The sequence below is a fragment of the Homo sapiens genome, chromosome Y, assembly GCF_000001405.40.
Source record: "Homo sapiens chromosome Y, GRCh38.p14 Primary Assembly".
Classification (NCBI taxonomy): Eukaryota; Metazoa; Chordata; class Mammalia; order Primates; family Hominidae; genus Homo; species Homo sapiens.
In genome coordinates, this window is record NC_000024.10 from 11,467,880 (window position 1) to 11,492,703 (window position 24,824).

Below are 24,824 nucleotides of genomic sequence, written 5' to 3' on the forward strand. Positions count from 1 at the left end.
GGAGTAGCTGGGATCACAGGGGCATGCCACCATGCCCACATACATGGGTGTTTGCTGGAGAGGAGATGGAGACTCTCTGTCCTGGATGTGAGACAGGTGGCTGGCATCTGGGTAAGGATGACATTCCCTCATTGCTAAAGACTAAAAGAGGAAAGTGTCATGGATAGTGCAAGCAGGGACATGCCCTGACCTAGTGAGGTCCAGAGGCTTATATTGGCCTTCATAGGGGAGTGGGAAGAAGCGAGAATAGGCAACCTAGGGGAAATAAATGACCTAAAATCAAAGAAATAGATCATCAGAAGTGTAGATGTATTAGTCAGGGTTCTCTAGAGTGACAGAATTAAAGGACTATATACATATATATATATATATATATGAAGGGGAGTGAGATGGTTAATAATGAGTGTCAACTTGATAGGATTGAGGGATATGAAGTTTTGATCCAGGGTGTGTCTGTGAGAGTGTTGCCGAAAGAGATTAACATTTGAGTCAGCGGGCTGAGCAAGGCAGACCCACCCTTAATCTGGTGGGCACAATCTAATCTGCTGCCAGCAAATATAAAGCAGGCAGAAAAATTTGAAAAGGAGAGACTGGCCTATCCTCCCAGCCTACATCTTTCTCCCATGCTGATTTCTTCCTGCCCTCAAACATTGGACTCAATGGCTCTCCTTTCTCATCAGTTTGCAGACAGTCCATTGTGTAACTTATGATCTTGTAAGTTAATAAACTCCCCTTTATAAATAAATACATATATGTGTGTTTGCATATATATATGTATGTGTGTGTGTATGTGTGTGTATATATATATATATATATATATGCATATATCCTGTTCTGTCCCTCTAGATGTAACTGGCTAATACAGGAAGTTTATTAAGTATTAACTCACACAATCACCAAGTCTCACAATAGGCCATCTGCTGGATGAGGAGTAAAAAGAGCCAGCCAGAGTTCCAAAACTGAAGAACTTGGAGTCCATGTTCGAGGGCAAGAAGCATCCAGCATAGGAGAAAGATGTAGGCTGGGAGGTGAGGCCCGTCTCTTTTCACGTTTTTCTGTCTGCTTATAGTATGGCTGGGTTGGCAGCTGATTGGATTGTGCCCACATAGATTAAGGGTGGGTCTGCCTTTCCCAGCCCACTGACTCACATATTAATCTTTTTTTGGCAACACCCTCACAGACACACCCAGGATGAATACTTTACATCCTTCAATCCAGTCAAGTTGACACTCATTATTAACCATCACAATCCCACCCCTTGTGAAATTCAACCCACACACATCTCCTGAGATCATACATAATCTTAAAATACAGACAATAGTAAGGTCATAATTACACCTAACATAATAAACTATCCTTCCTACAGTTGGAAATGCACCAATCCCCAACCTAAATACTATTACATAAAGCAAACAATACTTAAATGCTGATATGAGGTCAGTAAATCTATGTCACCTGATAAAGAAAAGGGAAATGAAATGAAGATATTTTCTTAGTACAAGGGCATACATGCACAAACATGTTTTTAACAAAAGAAGAAGGAAATACTCATGATAGTTCCAGTCCTCATTTCTGCAGCTGGTCAGGTGGTCGTAGCTGGTATTCATAACTACTTTCTTCCACTATCCATTCTGTATTCCCTTTGCCTTCAACAAGCACCTCAGCAGGTCGTGGCCCGGAGAGGATCTGGACCATTTGTATTCCTACCTGGATTGGGTATAATTTCCCATTTACCTTAATCAGAGTGCATGATAATACCAGGAGACGCCCTAATGGATCTCCTATATTCCATGCATACTCTTCCTCACTTCCATTGTGGAGTAGCGGACTGACTTCATCTTGATAGTCTGGGTCAATTACTGCTGCCAACATTGTAACTCCATTCTTAGCTTGTTGACTTAAAGGTAGGAGTACCCCAAAGCTTTTAAGTGGCCATGTTAACTTCCAGTTTAATACAATCCTTATTGTGTCTCCTGGTAGCAGCGTTCTTCCCTCTGGAGCTAAGAAGACTAATAAAGCAGAACCTAATGTTGTGGGAACAGAAAGCAAACATTTTGCTAGTGCATCATAGTGAGTGGTTCCACTTTCATATCCACCCCTTGAATCCTGGATCTGTGAATCCTGGTTATCAGAGAAACAATACCATACATTGGGCGCTGATTCAGAGCACACATGCTCTTCTGGAGTATGGTGCCCCAGCCCAGCAAAGTATTGTAACCTAGTTGACGTTGTAATCGCGACCTCAAAAGGCCGTCCCACCATTCTATAAATCCAGCTGCTTCAGGAAGATGGGGAATATGGTAAGACCAGTGAATTCCGTGAGCATGAGCCCACTGCCTCACTTCTTTACCTGTAAAGTGAGTGCTTGGTCAGAAGTAATGCTGTGTGGAATACCGTGATAGTGGATAAGGCATTCCTTGAGTCCATAAATTGTAGTCTTGGCAGAAGCATTGCATGCAGATAGGCAAACCCATATCCTGAGTAAGTTCCTGTTCCAATGAGGACAAACCTCTCTCCTTTCCATGGTGGAAGACGTCCAATATAATCAACCTGCCACCGGGTAGCTCGTCGATCACCCCAGGGAATGATGCCATACAAAGGGTTCACTGCTAGTCTCTGTTGTTGCTGGCAAATTGGGCACTCAGCAGTGGCCACAGATAGTTCGGCCTTGGTGAGTGGAAGTCCACATTGCTGAATCCATGCATAGCCTCCATCCCTGCCACCATGGCCACTATGTTCATGGGTTTATTGGACAATGACAGGGGTGTCTGAGGAAAGAGGCTGAGTGGTATCCACAGAACGGGTCATCTTATCCACTTGATTATCAAAATCCTCCTCTGCTGAAGTCACTTGTTGGTCAACACTCACACAGGGTACAAATATCTTCAGTTTTTGACCACTCAGAGATGTCCATCTACATACTCTTTTTCCAATTTTCTTTGTCACCAATTTTCCAATCATGCTTCTTCCAAGTCCCTGACCATCCAGCCAAACCATTGGCTACAGCCCATGAATCAGTATATAACCGCATATCTGGAAATTTCTCCTTCCATGCAAAGTGCACAATCAGGTGCACTGCTGAATGTTCTGCCCACTGGGAAGATTGTCCTTCACCACTGTCCTTCAGGGATGTCCTAGAAAGGGGCTGTAGTGCTTCAGCTGTCCACTTTTGGGCAGTACCTGCCTATTGTGGAGAACCATCTCTGAGCCAGGCCCTAGTCCTCCCTTCCTGTGTCAACTGCTCAAAGGCAAGTCCCCATGAGGTCATCAGTGCAGGCCGTGGGAGAGAAGGCAGGGTGGCAGGAGTAGAGACCATGGGCAATTGAGCCACTTCCTCATGTAACTTTCTTGTGCCCCCAGGACCTGCTTCAGCCCAACCACTTAAACATCATTTCCATTTGATGATTGAGTGCTGTTGTGCATGACCCACTTTATGGCTACATGAGTCAGAAAGCACCCAGTTCATGATAGGAAGTTCAGGTCGCATGGTGACTTGTTGACTCATAGTCAAATGTTCAGTTTCCCCAAAAGCCCAGTATAGGACAAGAGCTGTCTCTCAAAAGGAGAGTAGTTAACTGGAGAAGATGACAGGGCCTTGCTGCAAAATGAGGCCTCCACCATGATTCACCTATGGAGGCCTGCCAAAGCCTCAAAGCAGCATTCCTATCTGCCATGGACACCTCGGGGGGACCCAGCCTCCCCTTCATTCAAGGGGTTCTGGGTCTGTAAACTGTCTCAAGGCTGGAAATTGATTGAGGGGCCATGAATCTCTGTTTTTATAGTTCCAATTAGTCTTTTATGTGTTTGACCTTAAGTTTCCTCCTTACATAAATTAAGTGGGAATACATTAGTCTTCCTGTCAGTTTCACTTCTAGGAACACTGTGATTAGTTAGCCAATGCCAGAGCTCTACATGAGTCAGACTGTTCAGATTGCTGCTTTGTCTTTTCTGCCCATTACAGTAGCTACGCCCACCGTGCCTTTGAGGGTTGAGTGCTACCACTTGGCCCCTGCCACTTCAGGATCCAATTATTCCAAATTGTATTTAACTTCTGTAACTGAGTGACTGCAGTTCTCACCATTAGATCTGACATACAGAGAAGAGCCTTTACAGGGCTCTTCAAAGATGCAGGTGCTGTCCTCACAAATCTATTTTGCAAGGTGTTTGTCAAAGGTAATAGGTACAGAGTCACTAAACTCCTTGCCTCTCACGAGCGATGATTCATTAGGGTCAAATGAATTTGTTTTGCATAGCTCTTTAAACCTTTCATGCCAAGAACTGTCAATGTTCTCTACACTATTAAAAGTAGAGTCCTTAGCATTTTGGGATCTAGTCATATTTAGCAGCCAAATCCAGAAACCCCAAAACCAACAAAAGAACTCCAACCTTAATATTCTGTTCCTGCAGAACTATTCCTGGTACTAAAATCTGTATTAGTGAGGGTTCTCTAGAGGGACAGAACTAATAAGTTCTATATATATATATTATATACCATATATATAATATATAATATATGTATTATATATATTACATATTAACTTACAGTTCACAAGGTCCCACAGTAGACTGTCTGCAGGCATGAGGAGTGAGGAGTAAGGAGAGCCAGCTCGAGTCTCAAAACTAAAGAACTTGGAGTCCGATGTTCAAGGGTAGGAAGCATCCAGCACGGGAGAGAGATGTAGGCTGGGAGGCTGGGCCAGACTCACTTTTTCACTTTTTTCTGCCTGCTTTATATTCACTGGCAGCTGATTAAGTGGTGCCCATAGATTAAGTAGGGGGTCTGCCTTCCCCAGACTACGGACTCAAATATTAATCTCCTTTGGAAACACCCTCACAGACACACCCAGGAGCAATGCTTACATCCTTCAATGTAGTCAAGTTGACAGTCAGTATTAACTATCACAGGATTACAGACCTGAGCTGTCACACACAGTGTTATTGTATATTTCATACAATTTCCTGATTTTCCCATTTTATCTGTGACTTAATAAAGTTTTTCAGCTATGACCCCAAACTGGTAATACTTGAAAGCACATTCAAATGTATTTTGCAACAATTCATAACTGGTGAAACGTTAAGCCTTGTGGAAAGAGTCACCTTACTTCCCCATCAGCTGTCAATTCCCCATCATTACTATCACTTCTGGGAGCACATTTTCCAAAACTCCTTTTCTCTCTATGATTTCTTTAGAATAGCTCCATGAGGTTACAATAAATTACAACTAATTACTGTCATGAGATTGGGAAGTCAGAGTGGTGGATTCATGTACACTGACACCTGAAGTAAAACATATGCAGTTAGGTGTGGACTGGAGAATCACCTGGAGATGCGCTGCAGGCAGCTGAGAGCATCAGCACCCCCAGCCCTGGGATTCCCAGACAGGACTGAGGATCATCACACGGTGTTCAGCACATACCACCAGGGGCAGGTGCACGTTGGCTTCTGAAGTAGCACCTGAGAATCCCCTGTGTCTAGTACCTGCTTCATGAATAACACTTCATAGGCTTCGGAAGGACTGTGGTTTAGACTTTAATTTATTCAGCTTGAATAATTTCTCCTTGAAATACTGAGAATAGCTTCTCTTTTGCTGTACAAATTCCTATTATCCCATAACACAGACTCCTCAGCTGGACTTATCTCTCTTCTTTATTCAGTCAGGACAGGCATTGTCACGTCTTTTCTGCTGGGGATGAGGGCGAAAGAGGCTTAGGGTTCAGAGGAACCTCCCTGGCCTCCTCTAGGAAAATCTCCCAATGACTTTCCAAACCTGACTGAGTTTGAGAACTTCCCTCAGCAGATAGAGGCACCAGAAGGAGCATTGGGGCAGCTCAGCCTCACACATCTGCTTCCTTGGGGTTTATGTTATGACTTGTAACACTATGGGAGGGGTACTGTCACTCTGTTGACAGTAGTAAGTTGCAAAATCTTCAGGCTGCAGGCTGCTGATGGTGGGAGTGTAATCTGTCCCAGATCCACTGTCACTGAACCGAGTGGGAATCCCACTTTGCAGACTGGATGCAGCATAGATCAGGAGCTTAGGAGTTTTCCCTGGTTTCTTCTGATACCAATTTAAATTATTGATAATGCCCTGACTCGCCCGGCAAGTGATGGTGACTCTGTCTCCTACAGATGCAGACAGGGAGGATGGAGACTGGGTCATCTGGATGTCACATCTGACACCTGAAGTTGGAAACATAAAAACAAATATTCTTGCAATTAATCATGTTATCAGAGGACTTCCCTGAAGTTCCAGACAGTACTGAGCACACTGACCGAGTATAATCCTAGTGTTCTCCTTCCTTACCTGGCAGCCAGAACACCAGGAGCCCCAGGAGCTGAGTGGGGGCCCTCACATCCGTGCTGTGTCCTGACTGGGGCTGACTCCTGCACCGTGTGTGACCAGCCTATAAAAAGTCTTCAGGGCAGGAGGCTGTGCTCTAGGAACAGGCAAGTCAGCAGGGGATGGGGCAGGCTGAGCACAGCTGCAGGGCTGGCTCATCTCAGTAACTCAGCACAGGGGGGCAGTATCCCCAGAGTCCCAGGTCAGACCAGGGCAGCACAGATTTACCTTGAAAGATCACACTTCTCATTGGTGGCCATATGGTTACAGAACATATTTTTGTAGTGAATTTTCAAATTTTAAATCAACCTAAGACTAGATTAAATAATATATTTATACTTGTATTAGGAGTGTATAGGAAAGCATCATTTTTGGCAGAAAATTTACAATAATATTGTAGAATGTGGGGCTGTCAGAAATTTCAGTTAGTCTCAAAGGAATTTGATGAGTGTAAGAGTATTTAGTGCTATAATAAAAATGTCTCTGTCAGTGTGAAATTGCTTCTTTTATGAAATGAATATAAAAAGAATTTATCAGAAGCGTCTTTAATAAATTCAATAGAATTTACTAACAAACTTAAGACATTGTTCCTAGGAGTAAAAGGAAAAACAATTCTCTGAAGATGCACAAAGATGATAACTGTGTCACGCATAGATATGCCATTATCCAGAGCTATGGGTCTCTTTAAGACTCCGGGGCTAAATGGGCTGCACCTTATTCTTGGCGTGATGATCCCCATATTCTATCCCCTTTCCTGCCTTTGGTATAATTTCTTATGGTTCTCCAGCATGGAGTGTTGACTAGTAATACCAAGTCTCATTATTTCAACTAAAATCTCTGTTTCACTCGCTGACTATAGAAGCCTGGATTAAAATCAACTTGAAGCCCTCTATCAATCTAGGCTCAAATAGTCAATTGTTTCAAAGTAGGATGACAAAGGCCACATCCCCTGAGTAATGCTGTGAGCTGCACTCCCCACCAGCCTGTTCCTGGGGTCTCAGGTGAATCTGCCCTAGAGTCTGGCTTTCTGGAGAGCAGGTGAGTGGGGAAAAGCCAGGTCAGTGAACCTCTCTCCTTAGCGAGGGCAGCTGCTGCCCAATGCGTGTTCTTGCCATGCACCACGGCATCATCCTGACCCAGATGTCAGCCACCCTCTCTCACATCCATTTAGAGAGAATCTCCATCTTGTGCCAAGAGACTGCCCATGCAGACGAAAAAATATTTTGCATCCAAACATATCTTAAGCACTGATTTGAACCTCAATACTTCACACAGATGCCTTTGTCCAGGGCGTGTGGGCCTGGCTCAACAGCAGGGGAAGTGGAGCCAATTACATCAGTGTCAGTGGACTGAGAAATACTCCAGGGAGTAGTTCTCATGCACGACTACCAGTGGCCAGACCAAGGTAGTGCAGCCTGTGCACAAACCTCCTGCTGCTTTTCCAGAGGACTAGATTTCTGGGAAATGGCTACTGAACAGGCTGCCAGGATCCATATATCCAGATTCAGAAAGACACATGTCTGAATTCAAATGCGCTTTTTCTTTGTGCATAATTTTAGCAGTCATTGTTACTACGCCTTGGGGATTCTAGTCATTATACTTCAGCTGACTCTCTATGGCCCTTTCTCCCCTTCACTGCTCTATCTGAACCTGGGGAAGCAGCTCAGGCTGCAAATGAGGCAGACCTCATGGCCTGGAATTAGCATCCCCTAGGATGGCTGTCAATCAGTGATGACAAGGGAGGGGTACACATCCCCCAGCTCCCTCACCTCTCAGGTGGAATAACAGAGTCATTTTTCCTGTATTTCTATGTGGGCTTGAGCTCTCATCATCCTCATAGGTGGCTCCTTCTGAGGCACCTTTCATTTTCCCTTTCCCTCCTCCCCTCCCTTGCTCACTTGCTTGTTTCCCACGCTTTGTAAATATACTGCCTGCATGCGAATATTTGGCATCCTTCTCACTGAGGGGATCCAACCTAATGCATTGGAAAAATCCTCATTTTTGGAGGGCATCGTTTGTTTGAATTATTGCCACTTCTCAAGTTTTAATGCATAGGGAAATTCCAAAAATTTAGGAAATCTTTAAATTCCCTTTGCCAATCTTTCTTAGATTTGATTTTAGCAGAGATTCATTTTCTCTAGGTCACAAAATCACAGAAGCCTTCCACAAATGGCTACACAACATAGAGTCCACATAGAGCAGAGACTCAGAATCTCCCCAGGATTTGACATCCACACATCAGACAGTCCTAGAGTCTCAGGTTTTTTCTAGGTCAATTGCCTCATAAATCTGCCTTGTGATATTTTTATTCTGCCTTAGGGGAAGACCATTGTGTGAATGATGAGAGTTGTTTGTGCAATGAATAATACACCCACTAAAGACATCACTGTCCTAATATCTGAAATCTATCATCATTACTTATTAATATGTCAAAAATAACTTGGCAGACATGGTTGAGAATTTTGGGGTTAGGAGAGTAACCTGAATTATCTAGGTGAGACCATCATAATCACAAGTGTCCTTAAAATAGGGAGGGAGGAAGGTAACAGCCAAAAAGGACCTGGGACAATGGACATGGAAACTGGAGTGATGGAGGAAGGAGCCATGCTGCTAGGAATGTGGGAACATCAGAAGGGTGGAATGCTCGATATTAGATTCTCTCTCTTGAAGTCTACAATGAATAGAGCCCTATTACTCCTTGATTTTACTTCATTGAGACTTCTGACCTCCAGAAATGTAAGATAATGCACTTGTGTTATGTGGAGCAGTAAGGTTGTGGTAATTTGTTTCAGCAGCAACAGGAAACCAATGCAAGGGGAAGGGGTGTGTTTTACTTCCCTAGTGTATCACTGTCCTCTGTTCTCCCAAATAGTTCTGTGTTTTTGTGTTTGCTGTCAATTTCAACAAGAGACAGAAAACATTTTTCTATGAGGAGAGCTAGCACCACAATTCTTCTTATGTAGAAAGTGTCCTGAGTAATTCTCTGGGTTAGGTCTTGTACAATCTCGGTATCTGAGAGCCTGGAGGTCATCCCTCACAGCACATGAGAAGAGGAAGGAGATGCGGGTTTGCTGTTTTAACATTTGTGGGGCAAACTAGATGTACAAGACCCATTCTTCTTCCTCTTCTTCTTCTTCTTCTTCTTCTTCTTATTATTATTATTGTTGTTGTTCTTTAAGTTCTAGGGTACATGTGCACAACGTGCAGGTTTGTTACATATGTATACAGGTGCCATGTTGGTGTGCTGCACCCATTAACTCGTCATTTACATTAGGTATACCTCCTAATGCTATCCCTCCCCCCTCCACCCACCCCACAACAGGCCCTGGTGTGTGATGTTCCCCTTCCTGTGTCCATATGTTCTCATTGTTCATTTCCCACCTGTGAGTGAGAACATGCAGTGATTGTTTTTTTTTTTGTCTTTGCGATAGTTTACTGAGAATGATGGTTTCCAGCTTCATCCATGTCCCTACAAAGGACATGAACTCATCCTTTTTTATGGTTGCAAGCGAGAACTGAGTCAGAGAGATGGGGATGGCAGAGGAGATAAAATGTGGTCAGGGCCGTGTAAGATGTGACCCTGCTGCCATATCTGAAAGAAAGGCTGTTGGTGTTTGTAAAGGCTTTGGGCAAATTGTGCTTTGTAGACAAAACTGTAGAAGGGTCTGGGTTTAAGCTTAGTGTCAGCGTGATGAGGACTAGAGGTCGCAGTTAGCTTGTGTTAAGAAATCCACCCTGCACTTCTGGCTTTGTCTCTTTTCTGGTTTTATAGGTGATGGGTTCCTCTATGGAATGAACGTGGCTATGTGGAAGGAACATAGTTAAGGTCAGACAGACCTAGACTCCAAGTTCAGCTTCAACAACTGCTGACCAAGTGACTTTTATGCAAATCAGCCATGTGCTGTCATGAACAGTTTCCTCATGTGTGAAATGGGGCACTGAGGATGTGAAGGGGTGTCCTAAGGGTTCCTCCAGCTGATGCACCATGAAGTGTACATACATGTATAGACAGACACACATATATGAGAAGCGTATCTAGTGCCCCTTTTATGCATTCTTGAGTAACTCAGAATGTTATGTGAGATATTCACAGTCATATGTCATTTTCAACTAAAATTATCAATATTTATCTTATAACTAACAGATGCTTCTCTGTACACTGTAGGTTTCATGTACATTTCTTCAATCACAAAATTTTTCACCAATCTATTTATGTCTAATATCAGAAAGTTAAGCAAGGAGATTGTAAACCAACACAATACTTTTAGTCTGGATTTTCCCGGAGCCCCATTTGTGTTAGTGTCCTCGGGCTACTGTAGAAAGTTCTCAAAAACGTGGTAGCTTCAAACAACAGGAATAGAATCTCTCATAGTTCAGAAGTCCAGATCAGTTTCACTGGGCTAAGATCTTGGAGTCATCAGTTCTGGCTCCTTCTGAAGCTCTAGGGAGCAGTCTGATTTAGCTCTTCCAGCTTCTGGTGGCTTCTCCCTCCCAGGATGTGGACACATCACTGCAATCTCTGTCTCTGTGTTCACATTGCCTTCTCCACTTCAGTCTATGCTAAATGTCTCTCTACCTCTTGTTTTTTTTAGGACACGTGAGTTTCCATTTAAGTCCCAGTTGATTAATCTAAGACCATCTCCCTGTTTCAAGCTCCTTAATTTACACCTGCAAAAGCTGTTTTCCCAAATGAGATACATGCATAGTCTTCTTGGAATGAAACTTCACTATTTGGGGATGATACTCAGTACTACACCATTACATAACCAGGTCTCAGTGTTAGTCCTGTACATACATCATAATCTCTCTCTCTCTCTCTCTCTCTCTCCACACACCCTGGCTTCCTCCTTTTCTCAATGTCATAAATCTCTTCAATTCCTTAAGTGTATCCAGTGACACCTATAAACAAATAAGTATCTGAGAAAAGTCTCAATCAGTTTAGAAATTTATTTGGTCAAAGTTAAAGAAATATCAGTGAAACAGCCTCAGGAGGTCTTGAGAACGTGTCAAAGGTCGTCGGGCTACAGGTTGGTTTTACACGTTTTAGGGAGACATAAGATATCAATCAATACGTGTAAGCTGTACATTGCTTTGATATGGAAAGACAGGACAGCCCGAAGGAGGGGGGATGTTGGGGACTTCCAGGTCATAGGTGGATTCAAAGATTTCATAGGTGTTTGAAAGAGTTTATCTAATGACCTGTAATCAACACAAGGGAGTTTCTGGGTTTCGAAAAAGGGTTTTGGAGCCAAGGTTGCATCGTGCAGATGAAGCTTCCAGGTAGCAGGCTTCAGAGAGAATAGATTGTAATTGTTTCTTAGTAGACTTAAAAGGTGCCAAACTCTTAGTTAAATCTCTCTGGGTCAGGAAAGAGACTTAAAAAGTAATCTCTACAGAATGTAGATTTTTCCCACAAGAACCAGCTTTGCAGAGACATTTTAAAATACATTAAATAACAATATCTTGGGGAAAATACTTTTATTTCTCTTAGGACGTGGTATCTCTCACATTGGTATCTTATTGCTATAAAGAGTTTTCTTTGTCAGTCTCAAGGTCTCTGTCTTCTTATTAAAAGCTGGTCAGTTGTGCCTGAATTTTAAAGGGAAGAGGGCAAGTTAAGGCATATCCAATCATCCGTTCCGATCATGGACTGCATTGCATTTCAGGTTGATTTTGGTGTGTCCTTGGCTGAGAGGAGGAGCTCATTCAGTTGGTTAGGGAGCTTAGAGTTTCATTTTTGGTTTACACACCTGTGTCCAGGTAAGAGGGTCCCACACAGGAAGGCATGCTCAGAACCTGGCTTGCAGGGCTGCTTACAGACCTTCTATGTCTCCTGTTGTCATGCACAAGGAAGGACACAGCCAATGACAACCCTCAGCCATCCGGGGAGAAGCTGTGTCTGCAGAGAACGGTCATGAGCTCTGAATCTAGAGACCTGTGATTGTCTTCAGGGGCCTGTGGTCCTTAGCCTTCATAGGAGTTGTGAGGGCACTGGCTCAAATAGCATCCACCAGGATTCCAATCAGAATATCTCATTCACAGAAGGCAGTGGGTGATATGACAGCACAGAGGGACTCTGTGGGGCCAGCTGCATGGAGCACTCTGGGAGAGTCACTGGCACCCGTGCTAGACAGAGCTTCATTCAACTTCTGGAGCACACGGATTTAGATTTCTTTACATCATTTTGAAAGACCATTTATAATTCTGAAGGAAACCACTGTAATTAACTAAGGTAACATCTTTAATAGGCAGAAAGAAAAAAGTGATTATTTTATTGCCAAGATGATTACAAGAAAAGAAACAAACAAAAATAGCATGAAGAAAAGAGCAACACTAGACTGAGGGCTTTGGGTAAGAGGTTGAGACTTAGTAGTGAATGCCCTGGGCCATCTTCTGTCAAAAGGGAGGGACAATCAACAAAGGGAAATATGCAGTAGAGGCAAAATCTTGATTAGTAAGAGAATCCTAAGAGAAAACAAGAAGTCATCTTCCTGAGCATCATGTTGGTGTCGGGAAAATGCACATAATCCCCCCATTGCATGTCTTACATTTTTCAGCAATTAGGGCTCAGCATGAATTTAGAAGACACCATTCACTTCAGAGCAGATGGGGACACAGTCAAGGCAGCGGTGAGAGGCAAGGCTGGGCTTTCAGTCTCAGAGCACAGAGCAGGTTCCCCACTACTCCGCACCCTGGTGTCTCCTCCCAGATGTTCCAGATGTTCCACCTCATTCTTGCCTTAAGGGCTCCAAGTTGTTAATGGGACAGTAGTCCTCTTCCTTTCCCAGGGTTTCTAAGAATTTGGCTCTCTTTTGTGTATTGTGGGGTTTGTTTGCCATCTAGAGGCAGGTTTTTGGCATAGCAACTTACAGGCTTTTTCTACTTGTGATAGCGAAAATAAATACATAAATAAATTCATCATAAATAATAAATTGACTTAATGCATTGAATCTGTAAAAAAAAAATAAGGTCAGTTTGAGAGCTTAAAAGGAGCCTGATGAGGTTAAAAAGACAAATTACCTTTAGTAAAGAACAGATGGAGCAATAGATGATTCTTTCTTTAATCAATTACATTTTAGGAGTAATTATCAAATGGTAAATAAAACTTGAAATAAGCTGATGAAATATAATTTTATATGCAAAAAATATTTCCATAAACCATACAAATACATTTTCAGATTAAAACAAACAAAAAATGTGGGTTTATCATCAGATCCGCTAAATGGAAGATTTCTCAAATGTGTGCTTGGAGCAAAAATAACACTTATCCCTATTTGAAAGTTCAAGATTTTTGAGCTTTAGAAGAAAACAGCTTTCCCTTCACTCTGTTCCACTCACGCTTCTGAGGATGACCATGGGGCAAAAAGCCACGGCGGCGGGGTGCAAAAAGCCGTGGAGATGGGGGGCAAAAAGCCGCGACTTCAGGGGGCAAAAAGCCGTGGCGGCGTGGGGGCAAAAAGCCGCGGAGGCGGAGGGCAAAATAGTGGAGATGGGGTAGAAGGCCGGCACAGCTTGGCATTGCTGGAGTCTGATGTGATAGGAAATGTGCAGCCAAAGACAAAAAAAGATGTAAGTAGGCTTGACTCATTGCAGCTAAGAACCCAGATGTTACCTTGAGGGTATTAACTTATAAGCAGTTTAAATCAGAATTGCACATTCTGATTTGTTTTTTGTATGTTCACATTTGGCAGGCATAGATACGTTTGAAGAGAGAAAAGTCAGAAGATAGAGGTAACAAACTTAATTATGTGCCAAGTCTAGAAACAAGAGACCAGGGGGATAAGGACCTTTCAAAATAAAATGCAAGATTTGAAAACTGATTGTCTGGGGGATGAGGAAAAGTCAGCTCTTTAAGGTCAATCCCTGTTTTGCTTTAAGTTGTTAGGGGGTGGTTTTATCACATATTGTAGAATATGTCATTTCAGTTTTGAACATCTTGAGTTAAATTGTCCTAACATATCTTATGAATTTGATTTTCTTCCCTGGGAAGCTAATATTTCAAAATCTTAAGGAGGATAGATTTCCAACTGATATCCAATTTATAAAACTATCTCTAGGCTGCTGATTTTAGGAGGAAGCTCATGAATATTCTCTTTGCAGAGAATATATCAGGAGTTAACAACAGCTTCAATATTTGTGGACGACCAGTTAACTAAGCCACCTCTTAGTGTATTTAGATGGGAAATCTTAGCCGAAGATATTCAATAATGAACCAACAGTGACTAAAATTTCAATATTGAAGTATATTTCATTGTAATTAATTTGAATTGAAGAAGCCTATACAGCTAGTATTTACTACATTGAAGAATGCAAATAAGAGGAAAAAATTAATAACCATCTCTAATACCACATGCCAAAATCCTCATCAATTTATTCTAGCTAAAGGAGTTGATCAGAAGCAGCAGTTGAAAGCACCAACTAAACCAGCTGGGGTTAGTTCACTGTCATTCTCTCAGAACCATCTCTTCTCTGAACAAAACAAGTACAAAATTTCATTGTGAATCTGCATTCTCCTTGCCTATTTTAAGGTTTTGATGTTGACACTAATTTGTGAAATCCCTCCTGTGGTGTGATATTTCGTTTTCCTTGCTTTCTGTTAGGACAAGAATGCTTCAGCTCTTAATTTAAAATTATGTTTCTCCCTCCTAGGTTGAGTGAACTTAGAATGCATTCTCTGACATATCCAAGTTTTTGTTAATATGAATTTGGGGAAAAAAGCATACTTAAGTAGCTAAGAGTTCTTATTCTAGGCTTGACCCTATGATTGACATCTTTTGAATTTCTAGTTGCATGGGCTGCTCTCTGACACTGGTTAGTGACCTGGAAGCTATATTAATGTTAGGGGAGGTGGTGTATGAGCATTAGAGGTATCCTTGCAAGGAAAGACTTGTCTTATCTCAATACGTCTTTTTTTGCACACAAGAAAGTCAGTCTGAGTCATCTAAAATCTTCCTATTTCCAAGTTGCAGAGTACCATTGATTCCTAAACAAAGATCTAATTTTTGACTCAGAGACGTGACAAGGTAGTGAATCACCATTATAATTTAACAATCTTCAAGATAAAATTATCTCTCTGATATTTAGATTTTGCCCAATTATTAAGATATTTCGGTGTTTCGCTAAGAATAGAAGATTCTAGTCTCTTGAGCAGAGACTATAAAGGCCTCAGATGATCATTTTTAATTTTATGCTCTTTTCTTTAACACCTTCAACACAGTTGGAAGCAGCTAATATTCCCCAGAGTTGTTGTGTTTTTTAATGCAAATGCATGGTTCAGTGGTAGAAAACTGGGCTGATCCAAGCTGTTTTCAGTAAACACTTCATTTCAGGTGACCTATTTCATATTAAATAATCTCTAGATCCTGTCTTCCAAACTAACTAGATCAGATAACCTGCCCTGGATTTTCTCCTTTTAGGGTCTGTGAGCTGCAGTCACTTTTGTGAAAATGATTGCAATGACAAGATAAAGTTGCAGATGGGGAAAATGTTTTGACTAATTTAAGCATAGTGGTATTTCATATGAGAATTTAAGTTACACACATGTGAAAATTATAATGGAGTCTATTGGCTGAACTTTAAAAAAATAGCGTTTATGCTAAAAAGGGAACTGCTGCCTCTCCTAAAATCAGAAAGTTGTTAACAGTAATTCTCCATTCTCTAGAATTATCAAGAAGCACCTTTGTGATGATTTACTTTTGCTCTTGGGAGTGTGAGCCCGTGTAGCCGTGGAACCATCAATTAGAACGGTGGCTTTCTGATCCCAAAGTCATTCGTCCTGAAAACAATATTTTTCATAATTTTGAAAGTGAGAAGTTTTGAGCTTACCATTCCCAAGTAACTCTCTTAATAAGAGGTTTCAGCATGCTTCAGTGACAGCTGTCACCTTCCAGTGCTGAGAGTCATCTTTGAGTTCTCCATTTCACTCCCTACACTCCAATTTAGCTGCAGTTCTCTTGGCCAGTCCTATGAAATACATCCATGGCCTAACGACTTCTCACCACTACTACCACTCATCCTGACAGCATTCTCACCTAAGTCATTACCTTTTTTCTCTGGATTAGAGTAACCTCCCAATTTATTTGCTCACATAACCTGTTTATTCTACACAGTGCACGAGATACACCCCTTTGAAATGCAAACCCAATCATGTTATTCTCTGGTGAAATTATCTCATATATTCCTATCACATTTAAAATTAATTCAGAATAATCCCATGATTATCAAAACCGTACATGCTCTTCCACAACATGGTTTACTTCCAAGATGTCTCTTCAACTTTTTTTTCACTGTACTGAATAGGTGACTAATAGTCATATTTTTGTTTTTGCTCAAAAAGTCTTGACTTGTAAATTTTTCAGTTTCTCCTTTATCCACAGGTAACTCCTTCCTCATCAGGCGAATTGCTTGCTTACTTGAGTTCTGCTCTCAAAGATACCCTTCATTTTCTACCTAATATTAATAACTTTAATCATTCATTATTCCATTACTATGCTCTATAGTGTATACAATTTCTGTTCTTTGTCATGTTATTAACTAAATTATTTATTTGGTCCAGTAACGTATTCCATAAATACTGTACACATAAAAATTATGTTATTTTTATTGCTGTATGTTCAGCTGCCCAATAACAGTCTGAAGATTAACATATTTGTTAAATGCACAAATACATTCATTCACAAATATCAGTTTAATAATTTTATATTAAACTCCCTCTATAATTACAATATGAATTAGATAATTCAGAATAAATATTCCATTGGAAAAAACTAAACAATTTGTTATAAAACATCCTTAAAAGCATCAGAAATTTAATACAGCAATGAAGAATTACAGGACCAAATTTAGAATGGTATGGAAGCCTGTTTGTGAGGCTTATGTTTGGGTTATCTCTTTACTTAGAGTGACTATAAATCTCAAAAGAGAACTAAAGGGAGAAATAACCATATCAACTCACATGGTAAGGGTATTTAAACATCTCTTAGTAATTGAGATAATTGAAAGAAAAGAGAAAGCGAGAAGGAGAAACAGAGCAAAAGGGATAATGAAGGAGAGAGAAGAAGAGAAAGGAAGAGAAAGAAAAGTAAAAAGGAGGAGGAGGGGGAGGGAGGAAGAAAGAAAGGTGAAAAGAAAGAATGCTAAAGTTTTCAACAACATAATTTATCCTTTTAGAATATGAATGTTGGTCTATTTGATAATGTCCCACAGATTCATTAGTCTCTGCTCATTTTTTATCTGTTTCTCAGAGTCAATGTTTTCCATTTTCTTATCTTCAAGCTCACGTTTTCTTCTGTGTGTGCAAATATACTCTTAAATCCCTCTGGTGATTTTAAAATTTTTATCGTTGTAGTTTTCCGCTCCAGAATTTCCGTTATTTCTGTTGATATTCCTACTTTTTAATATTTTTTTCTGATTGCTTGATTTCTTTGTTTATGTTTTCCTTTTTACATTTGAGTATAATTAAGAGAGTTGTTTTAAAGTATTTGTCTAGTAAGTTTAATGTCTGGGTTTCCTTATATATATTCTCTGTCAATTTGTTTTGTTCCTTTGAATGAGCCATACTTTCCCGTTCTTTGTATGCCTTGTACCTTTTTTTTGAAAACTGGACATTATAATAATTATAATTACTATGTGGTTACTCTGTAAATCAGAACCCCCCCCTACAAACACAGTAATGTTTTGTGGTTTTAAATTTTCTTTACTTATTATATGGTTAAGGATTTTTTTTTAGTGAAATTTTCCAAAGTGATTTACAAAACAGTTTGCTTTATAAGGTGTGGTCACCAAAGTTTTTTTGCTTCCTTAACAAATGTTAAGCTAATGTTTTGGCAGTGACTTTCTTGTATGTCAGGAACTAAGCAAACAGGGAAATACAACAAAAACAAAGAAAAACAAGTAGTCATTACCCAGCAAAATATATCTCTAGGCCATGCAGACTGGCTTTGTCCTGGGTTCTTTAAAGCCGCCACAAAGTGTGTGTTCACTCTTGCACTGAGTGAAGTTCAAGTTGACTCTTGCACAGAGCTTGCACTGAGGGGAGGTATCAACCAAGGTAAAAGTGTAGGGTCTTCTTATGACATTTGTCAGCATGTGGCTTAACCTATGCATACATGTGACTTTCTAGACTCTCCCATGTACGTGAATGATTTTTAATGTCTTAATTTTCCAAATACTCTTCTCCAACTTTTCTTCCTGTGCTGAAGGTGATCTACTATATGTGTAAACTCTAATTTATACCCTAAGCATCCATGGTTTGTTAGGTCTCCTTTCAGAGTTTCTTAAAAATGTCCATTCCTTATGTGTTCCTTATTCTAGCAACACAGAAAAAAACAGCCTTTCATGAGTCCTTTAGATATCCCCCAGACCTGTCTGAACAGACACTTGAGTCCATTCGATGATTCCACTCGATTCTATTTGATGATGATTGGATTCGATTTCATTATATGATTGCATTCAATTCCATTGGATGATTCCATTCGATTAAATTAGATGATGATTCCATTTGATTCCATTCAATGATTCCATTCGATGATTCATTTCGATTCCATTCGATGATTGAATTCGATTCCATTCGATGATTATTCCGTTCGATTCCATTCGATGATTCCATTTGATGCCATGCAATGTTTCCATTTGATTCCATTACATGATTCCATTCAATCATGATTCCATATGATTCCATTCGATGATTCCATTCGATTCCATTCTAAGATTTCATTCAATTCCATTCAATGATTGTTCCATTCAATTATTTTCGATGATTCCGTTCGATTCTATTCAATGATGACTCCATTCGATTCTGTGCGATGATGATTGCGTTTGATTCCATTCGATGATTCTTTTCGATTTCATTGGATGATGATTCCATTTGATGATTCCATTTGATTCCATTCGATGACGGTTCCATTTGATTCAATTTGATTTGTTCCATTAGATTCCATTCGATGTTTCCTTTTGATACCATTTGATGATGATTCCATTTGATTCCATGTGATGATGATTCCATTCGATGCCATGCAATGATGATTCCATTCGATTTAATTCCATGATTCCATTTGATGGTGATTCCATTCGATTCCATTGGATGACTCCATTTGATTCCATTGGATGATGATTCCATTCGATTCCATTCGATGATTCCATTCGATTACATTGGATTATTCTGTTCAATGATGACGCCATTCGATTCCATTCGATGATTCCATTTGATTCCATTCGATGATTCCATTTGATTATTATTCCATTCAATTCCATTGGATGATTCCATTCGATTCCAGTCAATGATTCCATTCAATTCCATTCGATGATGATTCCAGTAGAGTTCATTCGATGATTACATTCGATTCCATTTGATGATTCCATTTGATTCCATTCAATGATGATTCCATTCGATTCCATTGGATGATAATTCCATTCTATGATGATTCCATTTGATTCAATTCGATGATGATTCCATTCGATTCCATTCGATGATTCCATTCAATTCCATTCGATGATGATTCCATTTGATTCAAATCGATGATGATTCCATTCGTTTCCTTTCGAAGGTTCCATTCAATTCCATTCGATGATGATTCCACTTGATTCCATTCAATGATGATTCCATTTGACACCATTGGATGTCTCCATTCGATTCTATTTGATGATGATTCCATTCGATTCCATTCATTTATTCCATTTGATTCCATTTTATGATTCCATTTGATTCCATTCAATGATTCCATTCAATTACATGGGATGATACCATCCGATGATTCCATTCTATTCCATTCGATGATTCCATTTGATGATTATTCCATTCAATTCCATTTGATGATTCCATTTCCTTCCATGTGATGATGTTTCCATTCGATTCTATTCCATGATTCCTTTCGATTCCATTCGAAGATGATTCCATTCAATTCAATTCGAAGATTCCATTCAATTCCAATATATGTTTATTCCATTAGATTCATTTTGATGATTCCATTCGATTCCATTCGTTGATGCTTCCTTTTGATTCCATTCAATGATGATTGCATTTGATTCCATTCAATGATTCCGTTCGATTCCATTCTATTATGATTCCATTTGATTCCATTCGATTATTGTATTCGATTATGTTCTATGATTCCATTCGCTTCCATTCAATGATGATTCCATTTGATTCCATTCAATGATTCCATTTGATTCCATTCAGTGATGATTCCACTCGATTCCATTCGATGACTCCATTCGATTCCATTCGATGTTTATTCCATTCGATTCCTTTTGATGATTCCATTCAATTCCATTCAATGATGATTCCATTTGATTCCATTCGATGATGATTCCATTCCATTCCTTTTGATGATTTTTATCAATTTCATTCAATCATGATTCCATTCAATGATTCAATTCAATTCCATTTGATGATGATTCCGTTAGGTTCCATTTGATTTATTCCATTAGATTCCATTTGATGATTTGTTTCAATACCATTCAATGATGATTCCATTAGATTATTCCATTCAATTCCATGCGATAATGATTCTACTCAATTCCATTCAATGACTCCATTAGATTGCATTAGATGATGATTGCATTAATTCCATTTGATGATTCCATTAGATTCCATTCAATGATGATTCTATTTGATTCCATTTGATAATTCATTTCGATTCCCTTCGATGATGATTCCATTTGATTTCATTTGATGAATTCATTCGATTAAATTCGAGGATTCCATTCGATTCCATTCGATGATTATTCCATTCAATTCCATACTATTATGATTCCATTCAATGATGATTCCATTTGATTACATTCAATGATTCCATTTTATTCCATACGATGATGATTCCATTCGATTCCATTTCATGATTCTATTCGATTCCATTTGATAATAATTCCATTCAATTCCATTTGATGATACCTTTCAATTCCATTCTAGGATTTCATTTGATTCCATTTGATGATTATTCCATTTGATTCCTTTCGAAGTTTCTATTCGATTCCACTCAATGATGATTCCATTTGATTCCATTCAATGATGATTGCATTCAATTCCATTCGATGATTCTTTTCGATTTCATTCAATGATGATTCCATTCAATGATTCTATTTGATTCCATTCGAATATGATTCCATTCGATTCCATTCAATTTATTCCATTCGATTCCATTTGATGGTTCCTTTTGATACCATTCAATGATGATTCCTTTCGATTCCATGTGATGATGATTCCTTTCGATTCTATGTGATGATGATTCCATTCGATTCCATTTGATGATTCCATTTGATTCCATGTGATGATGACTCAATTCGGTTCCATTGGACAATTCCATTTGATTCCATTCGATGATGATTCCATTCGATGATTCCATTCAATTTCATTCAATGATTCCATTGGATGATTCCATTCCATTCCATTGGATGATTCCATTTGATGATGACACCATTCAATTCTGTTTGATGATTCCATTCGATGATTTTAAATTTGATTCCATTGGATGATACCATTTGTAAACATTCGATGATGATTCCATTCAATTCCATTCGTTGATTCCATTTGATTACATTCGATTATGATTCCATTCGATTCCTTTTGATGATTCCATTTGATTCTATTCAATGATTCCATTCGATTCCATTCGATGATGATTCCATTCGATTCCATTCGATTTATTCCATTTGATTCCATTCGATGATTCCTTTTGATACCATTCAATGATGATTCCATTCGATTCCATGTGATGATGATTCCTTTCGATTCTATGTGATGATGATTCCATTCGATTTCATTTGATGATTCCATTTGATTCCATGTGATGATGACTCAATTCGGTTCTATTGGACGACTCCATTTGATGATGATTCCATTCGATGATTCCATTCAATTTCATTCAATGATTCCATTTGATGATTCCATTCCATTCCATTGGATGATTCCATTCGATGATGATACCATTCAATTCTGTTTGATGATTCCATATGATTCCATTTGATGATTCCATTCGATGATTTTAAATTCGATTCCATTGGATGATACCATTTGTATCCATTCGATGATGATTCCATTCAATTCCATTCGTTGATTCCATTTGATTACATTCGATTATGATTCCATTCGATTCCTTTTGATGATTGATGGAATGGCGACGAATGGAATATAACCGAATGGAATGGCATCGAATGAAATGGAATGGAACGAAATTTAATGGACTCGAATGGAATGGACTGGAATAAAAGGGAATCGAACGGACTGGAATGGAACGGAACAGAATAGAATGGAACCGAATTGAATGGAATGGAGCCGAATGGAATGGAACCGAATGGAATGGAATTGAATGGTTTGAAAAAGAATAGAATGGAATGGAGTGTAATGGAAAGATATTGAATTCTATGGGATGGAGTGGAATGGACTCGAATGGAAAGGAGTGTAATGGAATGGAATCAAATGTAATGGACTGGAGTGGATTGGACACGAGAGGAATGGAAACGAATGGAAAGGAAGAGCATGGAATTGAAAGAAATAGAGTGGAATGGAATCAGATGGTATGGAATGGAATGGAATGGTGATGAATGGAAATGAATCAAAAGCAATTGAATCGAATGGCATGGAAAGGAAAAGAATGGAATGGAATGGAATGAAATGGAATGGAATATACTTGAATGGAATAGAACAGAATGTAATGGCAAAGAATGGAATGGAATGGAATAGAATGAAATGGAATGCATTGGACCCAAATGTAATGGACTCGAGTGGAATGGAATGAAATTGAATGGACCCGAAAGGAATGGTCTCTAATGGAATTTATTCAAATAGAATTGAATCGAATGGAATGCATTATTAGGGAATGGAATCGAATGGAATGGAATCAAATGGAATTGACTGAAACCAAATGTACGTAAATAGAATGGACTCGAATGTATTGGATTGAAAAGTAATTGATTTGAATGGAAGGGAATCAAAAGTAATGTAATCAAAAGGAATGGAATGTCATGAAAAAGAATGGAATAGATTGGTATGCAATACAGTGGAACGGAGTGGAATCGACTGGAATGGAATTCCATGGAATGTAATCGAATGGAACGGAATCAAATGAAATGGACTGGAAAGGAATGGACTCGAATAGAATGAACTGGAACACAATGGAATCGACCAGATTGGAATGGAATGGAATAGAATGTACTCAAATGGCATTGAGTCGAATGAAATGGAACCAAATGGAATGGAAACGAATGTAACAGAATTGAATGGAATTGTAAAGAATACAATGGAATGGAGTGTAATTCAAAGATATTGAATGTAATGGAATGGAATGAAACGTACTTGAATGAAATACATTCGAATGGAATGAATTGGAATTCAATGGACTCTAGTGGAATGGACTGGAATGGAATGGACTTGAATGGAAGGGACCACAGTGGAGTGGATCGAAAGGAAGGGAAACGAATGGAATGGAATGGAATAGAATGGAATGGCATCGGATTTAATGGTATCGAATGGAATGCAATTGAACAGAATCGAATCGAATGGAATGACATCAAATGGAATGGAATGGAATGGGATGGAATGGGATCGAATGGAATGGACTCGAATGGAATAGAATCAAAAGGATTGGCATGGAATGGAATGGAACTGAATGGAAAGGAATGGACCCAAATGGAATGGACTCGAATGGAATGGACTCAAATAGAAAGGAATCGAAAAGAATGGTCTCTAACGGAATTTATTCAATAGAATGGAATCGAATGGAATGCAATAGCATGGAATGGAATTGAAAGATATGGAAGAAAATGGATAGGAATGGAATGGACTGGACTGGACTAGAAGGGAATCGAATGTAATGGATTGCAAAGTAATTGATTCGAATGGATTAGAATAAAATGGAATGTAATAAAACGGGAGGGAATGGAATGCAACGGATTGGAAAAGAATGGAATGCAATAAAATGGAAATGTGTGAAATCGAGTGGAATAGATTTGAATGGAATGGAGTCAAATGGAATGGAATCAAATGGAATGGACTGGAATGGAATGGACTACAATGGAATGAACTGGAACAAAATGGAATGGAATGGATTGGAATCGAAAGGAAAGATAAGGAACGGAATGGAATGGACTCAAATGGAATTGACTCGAATGGAATGGAACCAAATGGAATGAAATTGAATGGAATGGAAATGAATGGATTCGAAAGGAATAGAATGAAATGGAGTCTAAAGGAAAGATGCCAAATGGAAAGGAATGGAATGGAATGTAGTTGAATGGAATGGAGTGGAATGGAATGGACTCGAATGGAATGGACTGGAGTGGAATGGACTCGAATGGAATGGAAAAGAACTGAATGGCATGGAATGGTAAGGAAAGTAATGGAATGTTAAGTAAGAGTATGGAATGGAATCATATGGAATGGAATGAAATGGAAAGGAATGGAATGGAGTCGAATGGAATAGAATCCACAGGAATGTCTCCAAATGCAATGGAATGGAATGGAATGGAAAGAAGTCGAATGGAATGGAGT

General features: G+C 39.5%; 1 pseudogene, besides 1 other annotated feature; it reads right to left on the reverse strand.

Annotated features, from left to right (window-relative positions):
* Positions 5,883-6,359, reverse strand: IGKV1ORY-1 (immunoglobulin kappa variable 1/ORY-1 (pseudogene); annotated as a pseudogene).
* Positions 20,265-20,868: an enhancer, noted in NCBI's record as "OCT4-NANOG hESC enhancer chrY:13643820-13644423 (GRCh37/hg19 assembly coordinates)". NCBI's record gives its function as "activates a minimal SCP1, AML or CMV promoter by ChIP-STARR-seq in naive H9 embryonic stem cells {active_cell/tissue: H9 hESC(naive)}" and the evidence as "EXISTENCE:reporter gene assay evidence [ECO:0000049][PMID:30033119]".